We start from the raw sequence: 18,582 nt of genomic DNA, 5'->3' as shown, positions 1-18,582 counted from the left end.
CTTGACCCCTTGTGCTTCCCGGGTGAGGCGATGCCCCGCCCTGCTTCGGCTCACACTCCATGGGCTGCACCTACTGTCCAGCAAGCCCCAGTGAGATGAACCCAGTACCTCAGTTGGAAATGCAGAAACCACCTGTCTTCTGTGTCGCTCACGCTGGGAGCTGTAGACTAGAGCTGTTCCTGTTTGGCCATCTTGGAACCTCTTAAATTATTTTTGTTTTGTGTGATTGCAATTTTGGCATGTTTCTTCAGGTGCAATGAAGGGCGTGTTGGTAGACATTGTGAATGCAGCACAGATGAAGTTAACAGTGAAGACATGGATGCTTACTGCAGGAAAGAAAACAGTTCAGAAATCTGCAGTAACAATGGAGAGTGCGTCTGCGGACAGTGTGTTTGTAGGAAGAGGGATAATACAAATGAAATTTATTCTGGCAAATTCTGCGAGTGTGATAATTTCAACTGTGATAGATCCAATGGCTTAATTTGTGGAGGTAAGTAAAGGGCCTGAAGTGGTTGTAAGATGTGATCCCATCTAATGCCACGAAAAATCTTGAGTTTAGTTGGTGCATAAGTAGAAAAGGGGTAGCTTGAGGGTCAGTCTCGCCCCTAGGTATACTTTCTCACATGTTGTTGCTTATTTTACTTTTCAGTCAATACTGTGATTGTATATTTTTACCATTTTGAGAAATGATATGCTTAATTGCAGGAAATGGTGTTTGCAAGTGTCGTGTGTGTGAGTGCAACCCCAACTACACTGGCAGTGCATGTGACTGTTCTTTGGATACTAGTACTTGTGAAGCCAGCAACGGACAGATCTGCAATGGCCGGGGCATCTGCGAGTGTGGTGTCTGTAAGTGTACAGATCCGAAGTTTCAAGGGCAAACGTGTGAGATGTGTCAGACCTGCCTTGGTGTCTGTGCTGAGCATAAGTAAGTATTTCCTAATTGCTTGAAATAGTTGATACTTCCTCTTGGCTCTCCTAAGCCTGTATTGTTTCTAGAACCAGAACAGTGCCAATATTAAAATATACTGTAAATAAAATGCCTGCCATGTGGAAGCCTACTCTTTAATTCTTAAAAGTTCTTTCTCAACAGCTAGTATATATTACATGGTATGAAGTGTGTCATGTGAGAGTTGTACTATTATTTTGATCTGAATGTGCTAGATAATTGAATTTACATGGTAACCTTTATTTTGGCAATTAAGATTTAATTTAATTTAATTTGTCATTACCAATTTCTTAATTACTGTCTTTTGACAAAACTAAGCCAAATTAAAGATTTTTCCTCTTGAAGGATTATTATACTAGTAACATATTATTTAAATTATTATGATTTTGGCCGAGCACAGTGGCTCACACCTGTAATCCCAGCACTTTGGAAGGCCGAGACAGGTGGATCACTTAAGGTCAGGAGTTTGAGACCAGTCTGGCCAATGTGGTGAAACCCCATCTCTACTAAAAATACAAAAATTAGCCAGATATGGTGGTGTGTGCCTGTAATCTCAACTACTTGGGAGGTTGAGGCTTGCTTGAACCCGAGAGGCAGAGGTTACAGTGAGCCAAGGTCACACCACTGCACTGCCTGGATGACAGAACAAGACTCCATCGCAAAAAAAAAATTATTATGATTTTATGTTACATATTTAATATGTGATAGGGCTAATTTATTTTACTATCTTTTATTTCTTAATAGGGTTTTAATTTGAACTGTAATAAATCTTTAATTTTATTATGGAAATTAGCATCTTTTTACATAATTTTTCTATCCACAAATGTAATGTTCCTCTTCATTTATTGAAATCTTCCTTCATAGCTGTTTGTTCAATTTGGTCACAAGAGTTTAGCATGGGAAATATGTTTAAGCAAATATTTACTGAAATAATAAAATGTAAATATCATAATTTGTGTTTTTTGTAACAGAGAATGTGTTCAGTGCAGAGCCTTCAATAAAGGAGAAAAGAAAGACACATGCACACAGGAATGTTCCTATTTTAACATTACCAAGGTAGAAAGTCGGGACAAATTACCCCAGCCGGTCCAACCTGATCCTGTGTCCCATTGTAAGGAGAAGGATGTTGACGACTGTTGGTTCTATTTTACGTATTCAGTGAATGGGAACAACGAGGTCATGGTTCATGTTGTGGAGAATCCAGGTAGAAATGCGATGATTGCAGACATTCTTTTCATATCTTGTATGTCTTGTTTCTGCTTATTTAGGCCTAACATCCAGAAACAGCCTCCAGCTGGAATATTTTAGGTCAAGTTGGGAAATTTTTCATCTCTCAAAGCTTAAAATATTATCTAATTAACTGTATAAGAAATAAGGAAAAGAGAGTTCCACTTTTAAGTTTTCTGAGTGGAGAGTTTGAAGATTAAATACAGTGATTTATATAAGACGCTTAGTGATTTATATAAGACACTTAGAACGATGCCTGACACCAAGTGCATATTAAGAGTTTTTTGATGATTGATGATTTTAAAATTAGAGCTTGATTTAAGCTTGAATACTGGGAAAGATAATTTGTTAAAGGATATTAATATAAAGTGTTGAATTTGTTCAACTTCTCCGGAGGTGAAACTTTTTTTTTTTAATCTTAGTTTTCCTAGTAGCCTTTTTGTAGATTCTTTGGAATTTTCTACCATAGTGTACATGTTTTTGTGTGAACATAAGCTTTCATTTCTCTTGGGTAAATACTAAAAATGGCATTTTGGAGCATATGGTAAGCATATGTTTAACTTTGTTAAGAAGCTGCCAGACTCTTAGACTCCCATACTGTTTTGAATTATCAGCTAGGTGTTTTGCAAATATTGTCTCCCAGCCTGTGTCTCCTTATCATTTCATTTTTTTAAGTGTCTTCTGAACACCACAGGTTTTAATTTTGATTAAGTACAGTTTACCAAGTTTTTCTTCTGTGGCTCTTGCTTTTACATTGTCTTTAAGAACTCTGCCTAACCCAAGATTATAAGGATTTTTCTCCTCTGTTTTTTGGTAGAAGTTTTATAGTTTCTGGGGTTTCACATTTAGATCTGTAACTCATTTTGAGTTAGTGTGTGACAAAAGGCTCAGTTTTTTTCATGTCAGTGTCCACTTGTTCTAGGGGCATTTGTTGAAAAAAGACTGTCTTTTCTCCACCTTTGTTGAACATCAGGTGACCTTACATGTGTAGGCCTGTTTCTGACTCTGTATTCTGTTCCATGTATCTGAGTGTTAGCTATACCACATGGTCTTGTAGCTTTCTTTATAGCTAGGCCTGAAAGCAGGGTCTTCCAACTTTATTCTTTTACAAAAGTGTTTTTGAGACACTTCCTTAGTTCCCTGCCTTCCATGTAAATTTTAGAAGTGGCTTACTGATTGCTACAGAAGTTCTGCCAGGAGTTTGAGTGGGATACCATTGAGTTTATAGATCAAATTGGGAAGAATTGACGTCTTAACGGTATTAGGTTTTGTAACTCCTGCACATGGAATATCTCTCCATTTATTCAGTCTGAAAGATTTCTTTTTATCAGTATTTAGTAATTCTTAACATGCAAATCTTGCATATATTTTGTTAGACTTATATGTAAGTTTTTCATGCTTTTTCATTCTGTAGTAAATATTACTGTTTAAAAACTTATATTTTCAATATGTAGAAATAAATTATATATATAGAAAAATACATGATTTTTGTTCATTGATCATGTATCCTGCAACCTTGTAAACTCACTTGTTAGTTCTAAGAGCTATTTTATAGATTCTTTGGGATAGTGTGCGTTCACTCTCTTGGGTGTTTATTCCTGTATGTTTTTTATAAGACACTGCACAGCTCTTTGTGGTGCTCATTATTACCTTCTTATTTTCCAGAGTGTCCCACTGGTCCAGACATCATTCCAATTGTAGCTGGTGTGGTTGCTGGAATTGTTCTTATTGGCCTTGCATTACTGCTGATATGGAAGCTTTTAATGATAATTCATGACAGAAGGGAGTTTGCTAAATTTGAAAAGGAGAAAATGAATGCCAAATGGGACACGGTAAGTTACAAAACATCCAAAAAGCAAAGTGGCTTATAAAGTAAATGTAATACTCCTAAGACTTATGTATTAGCTGTCAGGCTGATTATTAAAGTCCTTTCTAAGTATTTTATTCCCCCAAAAGTTTCTTACTCAAGGAATTTGCATTTAGTGAAAAACAGAAAGCATCCTAAATATATCCCATTGAAACAAAACATTGATTATAAGCATGTATATTCTGGTTACTGTGGCCAGTATTTTTATTTCTTTAATAGTTTTGATCCTAAATCTGCCTTTTCATCTAATGTGAAGTAGAATCCTAAATAATGTTATCTGTGTAGCAAGCTATTCAATGGAAAGCTGCTTCTTTCTTTAAAACAAACAAACAAAAAAAACCTTCAGTGAAAGCCAGATTCAAAAGGTTATATACCAAGCTTGTCCAACTCGCAGCTCGTCGGCCAGGACATGCAGCCCAGAATAGCTTTGAATGTGGCCCCAACACAAATTTGTAAACTTTCTTAGAAATTGTAATTATTATTATTATTTTTTTTTGGTAACTTTTTTTTAAAGCTCATCAGCTATCGTTAGTGTATTTTATGTGTGGCCCAAGACAATTCTTCTTCTTCCAGTGTGGCCCAGGGAAGCCAAAAGATTGGACACCCCTGCTATATACTATATGATTCCATTTAGAGGACATTCTGGAAAAGCAAAACTGTAGGGGCAAAAATCAGTGGTTGCTAGGGGCTGGAATGGGGGAAAGTGTTGACCACAGAGGGGCGTAAGGGATCTTCCTTGGGATGATCTTGATTGTGGGTGGATTTATGTATTTGAAAACTCACAGAACTATGTACTTTAAAAAGATGTATGTTCCTCTATGAAAATTATATCTCAGTAAACTTTGGCTTATAAAAATCTTAAAAGCCCTAAGTGACCGAAAGGTTATGTTAGCATTGAGTGCTTTGAAATATGGAGTCAGAGGGTGGGGTAACCAAATGTTGGCCTTTGTGTATTCATCTTTTGATACAAGAAAGCAATGCCAATCTTCAGTATTTTTAAATTGTAAATGAATTTTGTAGTTAGTTGCACTTTACTACAATTTGCTTGGGTTTTTAAAAATTATCAATTTTTTAAATTACAAATTTCAGAAGGGTAGAAATAAAAAAAAAGACATTTATAGTGTTCAAACACTATAAAGGGATTTTTTTTTTCTGATGAAATCATTAGAAACTATTTCTTTTACTTTAGCAAGAAAATCCGATTTACAAGAGTCCTATTAATAATTTCAAGAATCCAAACTACGGACGTAAAGCTGGTCTCTAAATTGCCGTTCGTATTTTGTTTCACTTTCTGCCTTTGCATGTGAACTTCTATCTTTTTTACTGCACTGTGTGTCCTTTATCACTATTGCTGTTCTTTTTTTAAGTCTGGCTTTAAATATCGCTATTGTGGCTTTTCTTTTTGTATGTTAACTTCGCGTTTAGAAAGACCGTAAAATAAGTAATGTGATATAGAAACAGCAGCCATGTTGTAGTGAAAAGAGAATGTGCTTTGCAATCAGTTAGACCTCAGGTCAAATCCCACCTCTTCCACTTAGTAAGTAGAACAGCATTGAGTCACTTCACTTCTCTCAACTGTCACAGGGAGTCAGTACTCTGTTTTGTATGGGGTGGTTGTATTTGGCAAATGCACTCCAGTATATGAAATCAGCCTGTCAGCTCTAATCCTCATAACAGTCCTGTGCCTAGAATGATATTATCCTATTATCTTTTGTTCTTTTTCTGTTTATTTATTTATTTATTTTGAGACAGTCTCTCTCTGTCGCCCAGCCTGGAGTGCAGTGGTGTGATATCAGCTCACTGCAACCTCTGACTTCCAGATTCCAGCAATTCTCCTGCCTCAGCCTCCCGAGTACCTGGGATTACAGGTGCCTGCCACCATGCTAGGCTAATTTTTTTGTTTTTAGTAGAGATGGGGTTTCACCACATTGGCTGGGCTGGCCTTGAACTCCTGACCTCCAGTGCTCTGCCCACCTCGGTCTCCCAAAGTGCTGGGATTACAGGCGTGAGCCACTGTGCCCCACCAGTATTATCCTTAAATAACAAATTTGTTATGAGTAAATTTTAGGGTTGGATAGTGAAAATTGATCACGAAATCCAAATTGCAAAATAGAAAAATATAACCTACTATGATATTTGTATGGTATGCAACTACAATATCATTATTGGTTCTCAAAAGATTTGAGATCAATTTCTTGAATATAACTTGAAATTTCATTAAAAGCCAGAAGACCATATATATGTATGTATATTATATATATATGTGTGTGTGTCTGTGTGTGTATGTGAGAATGATTCTAATTTTCAAATGTAAGTTTGTAACTGTTCATATCTGAATTTTCATGAAATGCTTCCAGCATATTCTAATAAAATCATGCAAGCCCCTAAAACTCTGATAACAAAGGTTAATTGTGATTAGAACTAAATTCTCCTGACTGGTGGTTGAGAACTCTTCTTCTCTTTCCCAACTGACTGACTGTAATAGGGCCTGGAAGATTTCTGCTTTTCTCACTGCCTACCTTATTGTGCAGATAAAGATGGTATTGGGAACACTTACATAAAAATCACTGTGTCTCAGGCATGATTCTGACCACTTAATCTGTGTTTAATCTTCATAGTGAAAGTTGTAGGAATGTTTTACATATGAGAAAACTGAGACACATAAGGGTTATGTAACTTGACCGAGTTCCCACGGCTGGTTAGTCAGAGAGCTGAGATTTGAACCCAGGCAGTTGGGCTCCAGAGTCCATGTTCTTGTCTATGACATTGTACTTGGTAGCAGTTATGTATCTTCAGAAGTCCCGTTACCTGGTTAGGAAGAGGTAGATCACTCTTTATAGAGATTTACAGCCCTTTTACAATTTGTTGTTACTCTGTCAGAGTTAACACTGCTGCTGTTGGCAAACATCATGTTAGGGAAATCACTTTAATACATGGAACCCAGTGCTGTTGTTGTGTTTTTTGACTATTGAGAGTGTGCTTACAAACTGATCATGAATAAGAGCCTACAGTACAGGAATGTTTAATAGTTACAAGTGATATAGGAAGTGCTGATAACATTAGAAATCATTAACTTGTCAGATTTTTATTTCTAAGTAGACCGTAAGATTTTTAAAGTTAAATTTGATGGCAGAAAATTATATTCAAATTCACATATGGGCAGGTTGGTACATATTTGTATTAGTCTGAGACAATATATTTTTCTCGTTCTCACTTAGTACTTTACAGAAAGTCATTTTTAGAGGAAAACTGATTAGCCAATGACATTGCCAGGCTTTTTTTTTTTTTTAATACATATTTTTTTCTTTAGTTGTAGGTCAAAAATAGTCAAATGTTGACAATTTCATGTGGTTATTTCTCACAAGAGAAAAAATTTCTGTCCTACTGAGGTGAAATTTTCACCCTTGCTGTACCTTTCATTGTATTTTGAAGGAAATTATCAGTAAATGTTATTTAAACTTAATGTTTATAATGTATATATGGCTAAAATGTTGCTAAAATAAGCATTTTATGTAATTCAGGAAGCAGAAGTTTGGTAAAAATTTCTCTATGCATTATTGAAGTCCAGGCAATTTGATGGCTACAGATTATTTTAAGAGATGTTTTTCTCAAGAAAAAGTAGAAATTAACAATTGAAATAAATGAATGAGCATCAAGAAATTACATCATGGATTGTAAGAAACTTTTCTGATATGGACCAAGGTTTGCCAGTCAATTATGTCATTGAAATTTTTGAAATAATGGGCAGGCGCTAATTACTTTGGCAGAAGACTACCATGTAGGAACATTAAGAAGAACATGTCACATTATCAGCTTCTAACTGTTGGAGTGGGTTAAAAAAATGGTCTGTCCTCATCTGCTGCTATGCGGGTTTAAATGTGGCTCCCAAATCTCCCACACTTCTGCATTATGTATTTAATACATTGTAGAGATGGTTCTGCAGCTACCACTGTCAGCCATTCCAGAGTGAGCACAAAGATGACATTTTACTGAGCTTGAGGGCTTCCTTTCATAATATAACCCTGTTCTCTTGCTGCGGGTTTTTTTGGGGTGGGGTGGTGTTGCACTCTGAATGATGGAAACTAATTTGAATTATTTTAGTTTACCTTCATTTAAAATGATGCCTAATACAGATAGTGAGCTTAATTTTACCTCTAACCTTGCATGTTAAACTTTTGTTTGAGTGGACTTTGAAATAATAAATACAAATGTTTGTGTATACGACAAGACAGATTTTTCTCCAAAGGTAAGTTCTTCCATATAAATTACACTTTGGACTCATCTATATAGGGCTTTTTTTCTTTATTTTTTGTTTTCTTTTTTTTTTTTGTCCTTCCCTTATAATTCTTGAGTATTAAATACTAGATTTAGCAAATATATTGTATTAAAGAAATTTAATTAGATGCTAATTTATTTTCCCAACATATTTGAAGGAATGTGTAGCACTTAGCCTCAAATCAGATAGGATATAAATGTGGAGTGTAATTTATTTGCACTCTGGCTTTTTAAGATAGTAGTTGCCAAAATCCAGTTTCCTGACCCCCATTTTGAAATGTCTGCTCTCACAGCTGTATAATGTATTAGCTTCAGTTGGGACTAGAGCTGAGAGTTTGATGTACACAGTTTTGTCATCCACATTATATGCTGTTTGTCTCTGAGGGATCCTGAGTTTGTCCATGTTTCTGAAACAACCAGTCAAGGTGTATTTTGAGGAGAGGGGAGTGAGGGCTGAGGTATGTTGTCTGGTTCTGATTGGTATCACATGAGCTGCTGAGCTGAAATCACAGTGGTTTATTTGGTGTCTTGCAGGACCCAGCCTTTATATGTTAATGTTTTTCCCTCATTGGTATGGGATACCTACAGGATGAAGTTTCAGACTTCATAGCAAGGCCTCTAGGACTGTTCTTCCTTTGTCTCCTCACCTCCAATCATATGCCCCCTTAATTCTTTTTTTTCCTCTTTTTTTTTTTTTTTTTTTTTTGAGATGGAGTCTTGCTCTTTCGCCCAGTCTGGAGTGCAGTGGTGCGATCTCAGCTCACTACAATCTCCGCTTCCCGGGTTCAAGTGATTCCCCTATCCCAGCTTCATGAGTAGCTGGGATTACAGGCACCCGCCACCACACCCAGCTAATTTTTGTATTTTTAGTAGAGACGGGGTTTTACCGTGTTGGCCAGGCTGATCTCAAACTCCTCACCAAAAGTGATCCACCCACCTCGGCCTCTCAAAGTTCTGGGATTACAGGCATGAGCCACCGCGCCTGCCCTCCCCTAACTCTAGAAACTTCTGAACTGTATGTATTTCTACTTAAATGTCCCATTCTTTTCCCTACACCTTGACTTTGCATAGATTGCTATTTACCAACCAATAATTTTTCTAGTCAATTTCACAATGAAAATCTCCTTAATCTTCTTAAAGTTAATAACTTTTTTCTTATACTATTCCCAGATTATGTTCATAACTCTATTGTAAACTTCATCAGAGTGCCTTATTTTCATGTCTCTCACCCACCAAACTATACCTTCCTTGAGGGCAGAAATTGTGCCACCAAAAGGCAGATCCAAATACAGTCTGCAATGAAGTGTGAATAAAATTTAAAAACAAAAATTACTTTTAGATCAAAAAATGTTTTAGATGCTTTCTATAAATATTTTTTTAAAAATCACCTGCAGTTGGTTCTATAGTGAGATATAAAACTGAACAACATTCCAAAATCTTAATTTTTTCTTAAAAAAAATTTCCCTGGTAGTTAACAAGTATTTTTTATTTGTACTCACTGTAATTTTCTCTGATTAAGTGTTATTTGGTCACACTTCTCACTTGGCTTTCAAGCCTGCTTTCAATTTATAAGAACAGGAGAAAAAAGAATGCTATAGCAAGTATTTAAATGTAGCAGTTATAGTATAAGAGAATTTTTAAGGAAAAGGGTGATACAGTGATATGTTTTTTTCTGCTTAAAACATCACTGTCAGTATATTTTTGGATCTTGAAAGATCTCTTGTGTTTATGGCTTGGGGCCTGCTTGCTAGGCTTGACTTCAGTACTGTTTACTAAATTATAGCACTGCAATAAGACATTTCACCAATATGATATTGAAGCATAACAAGTTATTTCATAAGGAATGGTAATTATCTAACATTCTAAGCAAATTTGGCAGTGTGACTTGGTGGGGCGCAGTGCTGTCCCTGACACAATGACAGCCTTACTCTCTAAATTAGTAACTTCCGTAGGAGACCCCAGAAGCACACCTCCCTCCCAGCAGTGAAAGCCGAGGATTCCCGTTTTGATTAGCAGGCGCCTTCTGTTCACGATAAAGGGATAAGAATCAGGCAGTGATGGCAGCGGAGTTCATGCTTCATTAAGGCAGGCATTGCAAACTAGTTCAGAGGAGAGAATCCACGATGACAGCACATTCTGTGCCATGGAGAACATTCTTAAATCAAGCCTCCAGTGGAGGAAGGACTCAAGAATGAAATAGCACCAGATAACGGGGCATCATTAGACTTGTAAAGCAAAGCTTCCATTTTCTATTTTTATATAAACCATTATTAATGCCTTTAAAACAACTGTGATATCTGGACAAATAAAATAGAAATGACTTCTTAAGATGATTGCAACTTTTAGTCTTGATTTATAAAAATTATTCTACATAATTTTAGTAGGGTAACTGATAATTTTTCTCACTTTTTTTTTGTTGTAGGGTGAAAATCCTATTTATAAGAGTGCCGTAACAACTGTGGTCAATCCGAAGTATGAGGGAAAATGAGTACTGCCCGTGCAAATCCCACAACACTGAATGCAAAGTAGCAATTTCCATAGTCACAGTTAGGTAGCTTTAGGGCAATATTGCCATGGTTTTACTCATGTGCAGGTTTTGAAAATGTACAATATGTATAATTTTTAAAATGTTTTATTATTTTGAAAATAATGTTGTAATTCATGCCAGGGACTGACAAAAGACTTGAGACAGGATGGTTACTCTTGTCAGCTAAGGTCACATTGTGCCTTTTTGACCTTTTCTTCCTGGACTATTGAAATCAAGCTTATTGGATTAAGTGATATTTCTATAGCGATTGAAAGGGCAATAGTTAAAGTAATGAGCATGATGAGAGTTTCTGTTAATCATGTATTAAAACTGATTTTTAGCTTTACAAATATGTCAGTTTGCAGTTATGCAGAATCCAAAGTAAATGTCCTGCTAGCTAGTTAAGGATTGTTTTAAATCTGTTATTTTGCTATTTGCCTGTTAGACATGACTGATGACATATCTGAAAGACAAGTATGTTGAGAGTTGCTGGTGTAAAATACGTTTGAAATAGTTGATCTACAAAGGCCATGGGAAAAATTCAGAGAGTTAGGAAGGAAAAACCAATAGCTTTAAAACCTGTGTGCCATTTTAAGAGTTACTTAATGTTTGGTAACTTTTATGCCTTCACTTTACAAATTCAAGCCTTAGATAAAAGAACCGAGCAATTTTCTGCTAAAAAGTCCTTGATTTAGCACTATTTACATACAGGCCATACTTTACAAAGTATTTGCTGAATGGGGACCTTTTGAGTTGAATTTATTTTATTATTTTTATTTTGTTTAATGTCTGGTGCTTTCTGTCACCTCTTCTAATCTTTTAATGTATTTGTTTGCAATTTTGGGGTAAGACTTTTTTTATGAGTACTTTTTCTTTGAAGTTTTAGCGGTCAATTTGCCTTTTTAATGAACATGTGAAGTTATACTGTGGCTATGCAACAGCTCTCACCTACGCGAGTCTTACTTTGAGTTAGTGCCATAACAGACCACTGTATGTTTACTTCTCACCATTTGAGTTGCCCATCTTGTTTCACACTAGTCACATTCTTGTTTTAAGTGCCTTTAGTTTTAACAGTTCACTTTTTACAGTGCTATTTACTGAAGTTATTTATTAAATATGCCTAAAATACTTAAATCGGATGTCTTGACTCTGATGTATTTTATCAGGTTGTGTGCATGAAATTTTTATAGATTAAAGAAGTTGAGGAAAAGCATTTCTGGTTGGTGGGTAGTTCACTTATGAAGCTAAAACATAATTCTTTAAAAAAATGTACTAGGGACATAAGGAGAGTGGTATGGTGAAATACAGACTTGAAGACTGTCCTTGGGCTCTCTGAATCATGGTGGATAGATCCTTACTTATCCTGCTACGCTGGGAGAGAGGTTTCATCCCAATATTAAGCAGAATTAACTTTATGAACATCTTAGAGCCATTAGTAGGTGCTGGAAATTGTATCATTTTATTTAAGATATAGATAGGGGATTGTTAACTTTTCTGATAAGAAAAATTAGGAAAAATTTTACTTTTATTTGGCTTTGGTTTCTGTTTGAAAGGATATATCCATAAGTACTACTTGTGTAAAGCTTATTAGAAGAAATATATGCTGCTTTCTTAAGCATACAACAAATGTCAGAAATATTTGGAGGAGAAAAAGTTTCAGCCTTACTAGCCTTTCACATTTATACAATCCCTTCACATCCTGTTAATCTTCTTTTACTTACTCCATTTAAATGTGTTTCATAGCTTAGACTAAAGCATATTTGAGGTGAGAATTACACATTTTTAGTAGTTTGTAAGATCCATGAAAAAAATTATCTGTATTTATTACTCTCTGTCACCCTGTTTCATCTTGTTTTCCACCATCCATAATTCCACTTAGCTTAATTCATTTCCCTGTGCCTTAGGCATAATCAATAGTTGAATTGCATATTTCTGCTCCAGAACTCTGCTCTTATAATGATATTTTAAAAATATATTAGAACAAAGTAACAAAGTCTATCTTCTATATGTACATAATTTTTTTTTCCAAACACGTGTTTGAGGCTGGAATGTGGTGAATTTTTAGATTTTATATTACAATTTATAGCAGACAAAAAGATTTTCTATAGGAATCCCTTTGTTGGAAGTTGGAGGAATTGTATACAAGTTTATTTCTCATGCTGATTATAAGAGCCTAAAATACTTAAATCGGAAGACTCAATTTGACATTTGAGTAATTCTAGGCTTGAAACTGGCAATTTCAAAATATAGTCTGAGAAATTGATAATAGTATATCTATCTCTATGTAGATACACACACCACACATTGAGATGCTTTGACTGAAGCCACATAGAACTTGGTCACTAAAATACTTATTCTCCCAGCAGGAGTACATTTTGATCTCCAGTGAGACACTTTCCAAAAAGCAAGAGTCCAGGAAGCAAAACAACAATTAGAACTTTTTTTTCCATTTAAACTATACTATAGAAATTTACAAAATATTAAGTATCATGAGTACATTGTTTGGCTAATGCCAAATAGTGGCATATTTTACAGTGATTCCATGACATTTTAAAAGTTTTCTTACTCTTTTCCAGTCTTACTTTATGAATTTCCTTAAAACAGGCACCCAGGTAAGACCTTGAGCCACAAGAACAGTTCATAATACCACTTAAAAAGTCACCTGTGATCAGCTTTTTGTTTGAACCTGGAATTTTTCCTTTCTGTTTTTCACTACAGTTTGAGAGATAACCTTGAGTAGAGGCCATTTGTCTTTAGTTTATTCCTTGGAGGCTTAATGTTTACATTTTTAAATGTTCATTTTTGTAGATTCCAGGGGTACATGTGCAGGTGTGTTACATGGACATGTTGCATAATGGCTTCTAGTGTACCCATCACCTTAGTAGTGGCCATTATAGTCAATAGGTAATTTTCCACCTTTCACCCTCCTACTACCCTCTCCCTTTTGGAGTCCCGGGAGTCTGTTCTTTCCCTTTGTATGTCCATGTTTACCCACTGTTTAGCTTTCACTTATGAGTGAACATGTGATATTTGATTTTCTGTTTCTGAATTGTTTCACTTAGGGTGATCCATCCATGTCACTGCGAAAGACATGACTTCATTAAGGCCTAGATATTTCTGATCTGATATGCTCAAAGAAGTTCAGAAACAGAATGAGTATCTCCCCAGGACTCCTTTTGAGCCTATAAAGATCCTTCACTGGCTCTTTAGAATTTCTCTCATGACTCAGGATTCTTCTGAGAATTTAGGGATAGGTGGAAGTGGCTTCTGAGTGATGAGTGGGAGCAGATTTTCAAGGTGGATTAGGTCTAGATTAAGTAGCCCATCAAGTCTCCACTGCTCTGAGGGTGGTATGTCATCTAAGTGTGAACCTTTAGGGTACAAAAATGGTAGGAGAACCATGAGACAAATACTAAGTTCACTGATACGGCAATTCTTACCTTCATTTGCTTCTACAATTAAGTCTTCACTGTACTTTTAATTAAGATTTTAAATTTTTGAGGGTATAGAGTTTCCATAAAAAGTCATCAGTGATAATAAATTTTATTTGACTTTCTACTTATTCCGGATTCTAAAATAGACTGACATATAAACACGTTACTTATGGATCACTTTGAGAGAGGAAACACTATTCAGAAGATTTAAATCCCAGAATTTAATCCATTGCTTTATTGCAAGTTTACAGAAGACTTGTCTTCAGTTTTATCTGCAGTAGTTGATCTATTGACTTTAAATGTTGAAAACTTATACTAATGTTGCTTACTGTCCAAAATTATTCCTGGGAGATAAACATTCAGATTTTCTACAATAACCACTGACTGGCCCCTTAGCAGCCATTTTAAATGTAAATTTGATGATATTGCCCAAACATCCCCAGTCCAGTTCAACTTTCAGATCCTCAAGCCTACCATAGTCCTTTGTGTTTGATATTTCTTTCTTATCCTTAAATGTGGTAGCTCCATGAGCACAGGGACCTGTGTTTTGATTCACTGTCTGCATACTTCACTTTGCAGAACATTTTTAAGGTCCATGCATGTTGTAGCATGTATCAGAACTAGACTCCTTTTATGGCTAAATATTCCATTGCCTGCGTATAGCATATTTATCCATTCAGTTTTCAATGGACACTTGGGGTGTTTCCACCTTTTGGCTCTTACGAATAATGCTGCAATAAATATTGTCATATAAGTATCTGTTCAAGTTCATACCTTCAGTTCTTTTCATTATATGCCTAAAAGAAGAATTGCTGGATCATATAGTAATTGTGTTTTGCTCTTTGAGGAACTGCCAAACTGTTTTCCACAGTGGCTGCACCATTTTACATTCCCACCAGCAATGTATGAGGGTTCACCAGAGAACCCTCAGAACAGAACGGAACAGATACTTCATCAGAGAAGATGAATGGCAAAAAAGAAAAAAATGGAAATGCAAATTAAAATCACAATGAGATACCATTAGATACCCACTAGAATGGCTAAAGTTTAAATGGCTGAAAATACCAATTGTATCCTTAGAACAACATCTGGCACAAAGTAAGGTGTAGGTGACCAGTAAGTATTTGTTGAGTAGATGGATTCATTTCTGTAATTTGCTACCATGCCCACCTACCTGTTAGCATCTGCAGTGACATACTGGCCTTCCTGCCAGTTCTTATAGATAAACTCTCCAAGGGCAGACCTTCCACTTGTATTCGTCTTCCAAACTCCATCACCTCTTGCCTGCTAAGACAAGCAGTTCTCTCCTCTCCTGCATCATCAAGTTTTCCCCTCTTCTGGGTCATTCCCCTCAGTAACAAACATACCATAGTTACCATCTCTGTTTCTCTCTTTCCTTTTACAACTCAGGAGTTGTCTAAGCCATACACCTGTGACCAATTGATGTGTGACAAGGTTTCCAAGTTTGTTCAATGGGGAAAGAAAAATCTTTTCAACAGATGATGCTGGAATAACTGGATTTCCACAAGCAAAAGAGTGAAGCTGGACCCCTAACTCTCACCATATACAAAAATTTACTCAAAATGGATCAGTGACATATCTAAACATAAGAACTCAAACCATCAGACTTTTAGAAGAAACATAGGAGTGTACTTCATGACCTTTAATTTGGCAAAGGGTTCTTAGACAAGACACCAAAAGCATAAATAACAAAAGATAAAACATAAATTGGACTTCATCAAAATTAAAAATATTTGTGCATCAAAGGACATTATCAAAAAAGTAAGGCAACCTACAGAATGGGAGAAAATACTTGTAAATTATATATCTGATAAGGGATTAATATCCAGAATATATAAATAACTACAATTTAACAAAAAGTCGAATTAAAAATGGGCAGAGCAGTTACTAATTTCTCCAAAGAAGATACACGAGTGGCTAACATTTTGAAAAGAGGCTCAAAATCATTAGCCATCAGGGCAATGCAAATTAAAACCATGATGAGGTAACACTTCACACTTACTAGGATGGCTCTAATTTTTAAAAAGTGGAAAATAAGTGTTGGCAAGGATAGAAATCAGAAACCAGAATGCACTGCTGGTGGGAATGTAAAATGGTGCAGCCACTGTGGAAAACAGTTCAGCACCCCCTCAAAGAGCTAAACATAAAATTACCATATGACCCCTCAATTCTACTTTTAGATTTATAGTCAAAAGATTTGAAAGTAGGGACTTAAACAGATATTTACATGCTCATATTAATTGCAGCATTATTCACAGTAGCCAAAACTTGGAAACAACCCAAGAGTCCATTGACAAGTGAATGGATGAAGAAAATGCGTCATATATGGGACAGTGGCCATATATTGCCATAAAAGGAATGGAGTTTTGATACAACATGGTGAGACTTGCAGATGTTATGCTAAGTGAAATAAATAGACACAAAAGGACAAATATACAAATATATGTTCCACTTACATGAAATACTCAGGTAAGTTCCCTACAGAAAGAATAGCAGTTACTAGGTGCTGGGGGTGGTGGAAGTGGGAAGTTATTGCTAATGGCTATAGAGTTCTGTTTGGGATGGTGAAAAATTTTGGAAATAGTGGAGATGTGAAGGGGTGGCCTGCCCCTCCACACTTGTGGGTATTTCTAGTCGGGTGGGATGAGAGACGGAGAAAAGAAATAAGACACAGAGACAAAGTATAAAGAAACAACAGTGGGTCCAGGGGACCGGCACTCAGCACACCAAGGACTTGCACCGGCACCGGCCTCTGAGTTCCCTCAGTTTTTATTGATTATTATTTTCATTATTTCAGCAAAAAGGAATGTAGTAGGAGAGCAGGGTGATAATAAGGAGAAGGTCAACAAAAAACGTGAGCAAAAGAATCTATGTCATAATTAAGTTCAAGGGAAGGTACTATGCCTGGACGTGCACATAGGCCAGATATATGTTTCTCTCCACCCAAACATCTCAGCAGAGTAAAGAACAACAAGGCAGCATTACTGCAAACATGTCTCGCCTCCCGCCACAGGGCAGCTTTTCTGCTGTCTCAGAGTTGAACAAATGTACAATCGGGTTTTACACTGAGACATTCAGTTCCTAGGGGCAAGCAGGAGACAGTGGCCTTCCTCTATCTCAACTGCAAGAGGCTTTCCTCTTTTACTAATCCACCTCAGCACAGACCCTTTACGGGTGTCAGGCTGGGGGACAGTCAGGTCTTTCTCATCCCACGAGGCCATATTTCAGACTATCACATGGGGAGAAACCTTGAACAATACCCTGCTTTCAAGGGCAGAGGTCCCTGCAGCTTTCCGCAGTGCATTGTGCCCCTGGTTTATTGAGACTAGAGAATGGCAATGACTTTTACCAAGTATACTGCTTGTAAACATCTTGTTAACAAGGCACATCCTGCACAGCCCTAGATCCCTTAAACCTTGATTTCATACAACACATGTTTTTGTGAGCTCCAGGTTGGGTCAAAGTGGCTGGGGCAAAGTGGCTGGGGCAAAGCTACAAATTAACAACATCTCAGCAAAGCAACTGTTTAAAGTACAGGTCTTTTTCAAAATGGAGTCTCTTATGTCTTCCCTTTCTACATAGACACAGTGACAGTCTGATCTCTCTTTCTTTTCCCTACAGAGATGGTCACATAACATTGTGAATGTAATTAATGCCACTGAAACAAAGTGGCTTTAATTGCAAAAAAGAAAATGAAAAGGCAAGACATAGTGGGGAAAATATTAGCAAAGCGTATTGTCTGATAAAGGACTTTTATCTAGAACACATAAAGATCACTTAGAGTCTCAAGAATAAGAAGACCCCCCTAGAAGATTTAAACTGGACAAAATATTTGAACAGATGTTCCACCAGAGAAGATGAATGGCAAAAAAAACAAGCAAATGGAAAGACAAAATCATGAGATGCCATTAGACACCCACTAGAATGGCTGTAATTTAAATGGTTTCCAAGGATGTGGAACAACTGGCACTGTGATTTAGTGTTAGTGAGAATGTGAACTAGTGCAACCACTTTGGAAAACAAGTTGGCAGTTCTTAAAAAGTTAAAACATACGACTTAACATTTGAGTCAGCCATTCTACTTTTGAGCATTTACCCAAGTGAAGTGAAAACAAGTGTCCATACAAAGAATTGTTACACAAATGATCCTAGCAAGTCTGTTTATAATAGCCAATAATTGGAAACAACCCAATGTCCATCGACAAGTGAATGCACAAATTGTTGTATATTCAAACAATTTAATACGACTCAACACCAAAAACCAATAAACTGGATATATGCAA

The 18,582-nt window shown here is 36.3% G+C and overlaps 1 protein-coding gene and 1 non-coding gene across 4 annotated transcripts in view; both read left to right on the top strand.

Annotated features, from left to right (window-relative positions):
• Positions 1 to 12,058, top strand: part of ITGB1 (integrin subunit beta 1) — a 57,913-nt gene extending 45,855 nt beyond the window's left edge. For 2 of the 3 annotated variants that reach the window (NM_002211.4, NM_133376.3), the window contains exons 12-16: positions 252 to 490; positions 706 to 928; positions 1,921 to 2,153; positions 3,842 to 4,008; positions 10,741 to 12,058. In NM_002211.4, coding sequence (NP_002202.2) covers positions 252 to 490; positions 706 to 928; positions 1,921 to 2,153; positions 3,842 to 4,008; positions 10,741 to 10,806 — 928 coding nt within the window. In that variant the 3' untranslated portion in view covers positions 10,807 to 12,058. Of the gene's footprint in view, positions 1 to 251; positions 491 to 705; positions 929 to 1,920; positions 2,154 to 3,841; positions 4,009 to 5,232; positions 5,314 to 10,740 lie in introns of all 3 variants that reach the window. The other variant, NM_033668.2, reaches the window with a different exon arrangement.
• SNORA86 (small nucleolar RNA, H/ACA box 86) lies at positions 10,904 to 11,042 on the top strand. Its single transcript, NR_132768.1, has one exon. It is a non-coding gene; the product is annotated as a small nucleolar RNA, H/ACA box 86 (small nucleolar RNA).

Source organism: Homo sapiens, chromosome 10 (genome assembly GCF_000001405.40).
Source record: "Homo sapiens chromosome 10, GRCh38.p14 Primary Assembly".
In the NCBI taxonomy this organism is placed as follows: Eukaryota; Metazoa; Chordata; class Mammalia; order Primates; family Hominidae; genus Homo; species Homo sapiens.
The sequence above is the reverse complement of the archived record's forward strand: the minus strand, read 5'-3'. Positions and strand labels throughout refer to the sequence as shown.